The sequence below is a fragment of the Homo sapiens genome, chromosome 11 (assembly GCF_000001405.40).
Source record: "Homo sapiens chromosome 11, GRCh38.p14 Primary Assembly".
Classification (NCBI taxonomy): domain Eukaryota; kingdom Metazoa; phylum Chordata; class Mammalia; order Primates; family Hominidae; genus Homo; species Homo sapiens.
Window position 1 is genome coordinate 38420171 of NC_000011.10, and position 5881 is coordinate 38426051.

Genomic DNA, 5881 nt, shown 5'->3' on the forward strand with positions numbered 1-5881 from the left:
AACAATGATAGACTGGATTAAGAAAATGTGGCACATATACACTATGGAATACTATGCAGCCATAAAAAAGGATGAGTTCATGTCCTTTGTAGTGACATGGATGAAATTGGAAATCATCATTCTCAGTAAACTATCGCAAGAACAAAAAACCAAACACCGCATATTCTCACTCATAGGTGGGAATTGAACAATGAGATCACATGGACACAGGAAGGGGAACATCACACTCTGGGGACTGTTGTGGGGTGGGGGGAGGGGGGGAGGGATAGCTTTGGGAGATATACCCAATGCTAGATGACGAGTTAGTGGGTGCAGCGCAGCAGCATGGCACATGTATACATATGTAACTAACCTGCACAATGTGCACATGTACCCTAAAACTTAAAGTATAATAATAAAAAAAAATTGTTGATCTTTCATTAAGATATGAGGAAATCTTCCTTATTTAGAGGTGATATTTTCCTTGACACTTTACATAGATCAACAAACTACTGAAAACGCAGGTAAATAATTTCTTACCTTTTTTTAAAAAAACTAGAATTGCACATTATTAAAGTCATCGCATAGTTCGGTATACTATGTAAAAAACTTTCTATCTATCTTTCAAAGAGATTCTATTTGAATGTCTAATTGCTAATTTCTGCCTTTGCCTGCTAAATGATATAGCTGTAGTTACATATAAAAATCATGATTTCATTGTTGCAGAAAATAACGAAATACACTTTTCAAAATTGGTTATTAGCAGTGTTACTTCCTTAAGCAATCAAATAAGATTTCAGTTTTACAAAAGATATATGTTGAGGAACAGAGAGAGAGAACTTTTCTTTCTTTCTTTCTTTCTTTCTTTCTTTCTTTCTTTCTTTCTTTCTTTCTTTCTCTCTCTCTCTGTTTCATTCTCTTTCTCATTTTTCCTCCCTCCCTCCCTCTCTCTTTCTTTCTTTCTTTCCTTTTCTTTTCTTTTTCTTTCTTTTCTCTCTGGACTCTGAGTTGCCTCACAAAAGAAACAGGCAACACAATGGGAGTGAACTGCTCACCATGATGCTTCCCTAGAATGTGGTAGGCTACAAGGTACCTGGAGCTCCTTAGTGTCTTAGGTTGATTCCACTTGTGGTAGCTGGGGTGAAGAGTTGGAAAGCTTACAGATGGATATAAAATCAACTTAAGCCTATGAAATTCTTTTCCCGCCTTCAGGAAAATTGTCTTAACAAGCTCCAGTCTGGCTAGCCCCAGGGACGAGAGGGGCCCTAGAAAAATACCAGTAAAGTATCCTGAAGTGTTAGTTGTCCCATGGTGTGGGGCTTGGATCAGGAACCCCAGTTGCCCAGTTATAAGGGCAATATTGCAATCATGTCCAACAATGCTCTTCAATTTAAACATGGTTACACAAACATCTATGTGTACTAACTTCAGGTGTTTAAATGACAATAATTTTTAAAAATAGTGTTGTTAAAGAAGCCTGTTGAACTCTTACAGTGTTGGATAAATGTCACAGATGCCACCTATGGCCTGGAAATCTTGAGACTACGTGGAAGGAAGCAAGCATGTGAAATCCTGTAAAGAACATGTATAATAAGAGCATAGATTTTCATAGGGAAAAACTGGGTTAACTGTGGCCTACAAAGAACTTGACAAAATCAGAGAACAATTACCAAGGTAACTTATTTTATAAATGGTAATTATAAAAGTGGACAAAGTTATTTCTTAGGGACCAGAATAGGTTACAGGAAGGGATTTTGTTTTTAAGCAAAGCCTTAGAACTGGTCTCTATAAAGCAGGAGGGAGAGATATATTTAGGTATGGATCCCAGATAAGGTGCTGGAAAAGGAGAGAATATCAGAATAAAGCCTGAGGTACTATTGTCTCTCTATTCTAACACAAAGGCTTCTCTTATTTTTCCTTTTGTGGAGAGTTCCTTAGAAACTCTCATAGGAGCTCTCCCGACTTACTCAAAGTAATAACTAGTATTCCCACTAAGGGTCACGTTTGTTTGAGAAGTAGCCTCACGTAATTGCAAGAGAAAGCTGTGCCAGCTCCTCATACTGACAATCAAGTTCATGTGTTATAAATAGGAACACCTAATGAAAGCTCATCTTAAATTTGAAGAAAAAATAACTTGAACAAAATGAATTAATATAGAATGAAAAACAAAATATAAAAAATAAGCAGGTAAAATAATGACAATGATGAACAAAGAGATAATTTAAAAAAACAAAGATATGCTTTAATAAAATTCTAGCCTCGACTTGGTGGCTTATGCCTGTAATCTTGGCACTTTGGGAGGCTGAGGTGGGCACATCACTTGAGCTCAGGAATTTGAGACCAGCCTGGGCAACATGGCAAAACCCATTTCTACAAAAAGTACAAACAATTAGCTGGGCATGGCGGTGCATGCCTGTAGTCCTAGCTACTGGAGAGGCTGAGGTGAGAGGATCACTTGAGCCCTGGAGATTGAGGCTGCAGTGAGCTGAGATTGTACAATTGCGCTCCAGCCTGGGCAAGAGAGTAAGACAGGGTTATTTTCTAAATAAATAAATACAATTTGAATTATTAACTTCAGATTCAAGAATGGTACTTCAGACGCTAAAAACAAATCTGCTTTTAAAGAAGTACAAACAGCTAAAAGTTTTTTGGATTAAAAACAAAACAAAACAAAACAAAACAAAACAAAACAAAAATCTTTGTGTTTAAGATAACCAGCATTTGGACTTAGTAATTCAGTAAGAGACTGGCTTAAAGTTTTGTCAGTGTCTCTAAGGTGTTTTTATCTTGTGTCAACTTTAAGCTACAGCTGTATTTTCTAGAAATCACTTTACTGAATGGAAGGTGTCCAAAAGAGAAATTTGCATGGGATTAATTAAGAAGGTGGAAGTGGAATAGCAGTTTACTATCTAGGTGGTCCTGAAAGACAGAGATGCCATTGAATTTTAGCATGTCCTCACTGTCCCTCCCTGCGTTCAGCTCTTCTTTCTGATGGCAGCAGCTTCTATAGACTTCTCCAGCTCTCCTTCCTGGTCTCACTTTGCAAGCTAGTTGTGTTTGATTTCCCTTAATTCCTTGAAAGCTCTGACTTGTCACCTACTTGACAACTTCAAGAGAGCTGGTGGTTGTTGACTTTTCTCTGATATTCCAACTCTCACTTTGGGCTCTTCACTTCCCTATATTTTCCCCCGGCTGAGTAGGTCTCATTTATTTAAGTCCCTAACTGTATAATACTCAATGTAATTCTGCTTTTCAGATTGACCTCTATTTGAGGCATAGTTTCTCTCTAAGTAAAATGAAGGTAGCAATTAAAGCAGATATTTTCATACTACAGTCTATGTGGTTTAAGAAGATTGCAATGAGCAACTCAGTGACTCCCACTCTTAGGTGGGAATAAATAGCCAAAAGGTCATACATGCATGCTCTGCTTTTAAGAGAGTCACTATTATTTTACCTATTTTATATGCTTGATTTCTCTTACTGTTTCAAGAGAATCAAGGGATCTATGCCACCTACTCCCATATTTGAAACTACTATACTAGACAATCTGTAATGTCATTTAACTCAAAATTCTTTCGAATTTGGGCCCATTAACTTTAAAATAATGTTTGCAAGTTCCTCTCTCTGTCATGATGGTTTCCAGAGATTTATTCTCTTTACTTTTCTTCATCAAAATATTCTTTCTGGAAAAGCCTGCCTACTTACCCTATGATTTTACCATCTACCTGCTCATTGGTGGCTCTCCAATCTACATTTATAGCCTAAATGGCTCTCCTAAGTTATATATTTTTATTAAAATACCTGCTGGTGACCCATACATATCACATAAACAGCTTAAACTTAGCATGAAAATCACAGAACTAATCATATATTATCATGTTACTCCCAAACATAAATATTATTCCTGTAGATTCTTTTTCAATAATTGAAATTACCATCACTCAGTACCTATATAAACAATAAGCAGCATATTTTCCTGGTCTTTTCCTTCTTCCTTACCTTCGCTCTCCCACATTCAAGTAATCCACTTGGCCCAAAAGTCCTTTATATCCCATCCGTCAACTTTCTCACCCCTCTCCTCTTCATTCTTAATGCTATTACCTTTCTTTCAGATCTAATTTCTTTTACTTTATTTATAAACAGTGCTATTGAGATATAATTCATAGAACATACAAAGCACCCATTTAAATTACACAACTCGGTTTTTTAATCCTTTTTTAAAAATCTAATTACTATCATCCAGATAGCTGGTCTCAGTAATGACATCTACTAGGACAAGGATCTAGGTCATGCTCCTTTAACTTCCTTTAGCATTTTGTGCTTATTTCTAGTAGATAATTTATTGTGCTTGATTTTAATTTCTGGTTCCTGTAATATGTTTTTAAAATAAACTGAAAAGTTATTGAAGTCAGTGGCTGTTAATGGTTAATGGTAAATTAATGGTTAATATTAAGTGTCAACTTAATTGGATTGAAATTTTGTTTCTGGGTGTGTCTGTGAGGATGTTGCCAGAGGAGATTAACATTTGAGTCAGTGGACTGGGAGAGGACCACTAGTGTGGGTGGGCACCATCCAATGGGCTTCCAGCATGGCTAGAAAAAGCAGTCAGAATAAGGTGACGTAAGCTGGCTTGGTGAGTCTTCCGCTTTCATCATTCTCCCATGCTGGTTGCTTCCTGCCCTTCAACATCAGACTCAAGATTCCAGGAGTCTTTGGACTCTTGGACTTACACAAGTGGTTTGCCAGGGGCTCTTGGGCCTCTGGTCACAGACTGAAGGCTGCACTTTCAGCTTCTCTATGTTTGAGGGTTTTGAATTTGCAGTGAGCCACTACTGGCTTCCTTGCTCTTCAGCTTGCAGATGGCCTATCGTGGGACTTCACCTTGTGATCATGTGAGTCAATTTCCTTAATAAACTCCTTTCATATATACATCTATCCTACTAGTTCTGTTGCTCTGGAGAGCTCTAATACAGTGACTGTGTGTTTTATCTCTTCTTTTCTGATACCTCACAGACAGTAAGAAACAAATAATTATGTGTTGAGTGAATGAATGAATGAAAAAGACATTATTGAGTCACCTCAATGTAAGAATATGTAAATCTTTTTTTTTTTCTTCAGGGCTCTATACTCAAATTAAAATAGTGTCTAAGAAAATAAGCACATAAATATTCGATTTATTATTAATATTTGGATAAAATAATTTAATTAATTTAACATGCCCTTATATTGATCTCATCTCTAGAATTATCTACCAAATGCATAGGAATTAGAGACAATATAAATTCAGCTAAGCATAAATAATGACACCAACATTTGATAATAACAAAGTCGGGATAATAGTTTGAATGTTTAAAATTTTGCATGTGGCTATTTTCAGGCAAAGCTGCAAATATTTTTTTGAGTGCTGAATAAATTTCCAGAAGGCAAGAAAGGAGTTCTATTAAGAGAAAATAAATAAATAACATCCAACACCTGAACATTCAGAAATAGCAAGCTCTGAGAAGTTCCTAAATTAGCTGTAGCTAAAGCTTGACAATTGTCTTTTATCAAGACAAAAATAACTGGGCTCCATGGTATCACAGCTGTGAAGGCACCAGCTTGTTAAAGCAGGAGAGATTGACATGTCAAATTACCACCTTCGCCAAAGATTGCACTGGATGTCCATCAAAATGAGACCAACACTTATGTGAGGGGTGAGGAAAGAAGAAGGGAGGTGGAAAAATGCGGAGGGGAAAAAGCAATCAGGCACTTTTATATATTTTTATTTGTTCCTCACTCTATTAAAAAAATCTACAAACAAAGAGCTACTCTAGTTCCTGGTCGTCAATATTAAATTTCAGATCATAAGACTAGCATTTTCCACCTTTAGCTTCTATCTTTAAAATCTCTGATTTAATGTGCT

The 5881-nt window shown here is 36.5% G+C and overlaps 1 annotated feature.

Annotated features, from left to right (window-relative positions):
* Nucleotides 5416–5616: a silencer, noted in NCBI's record as "peak1259 fragment used in MPRA reporter construct". NCBI's record gives its function as "represses an SCP1 promoter by STARR-seq MPRAs in K562 erythroleukemia cells {active_cell/tissue: K562}" and the evidence as "EXISTENCE:reporter gene assay evidence [ECO:0000049][PMID:32103011]".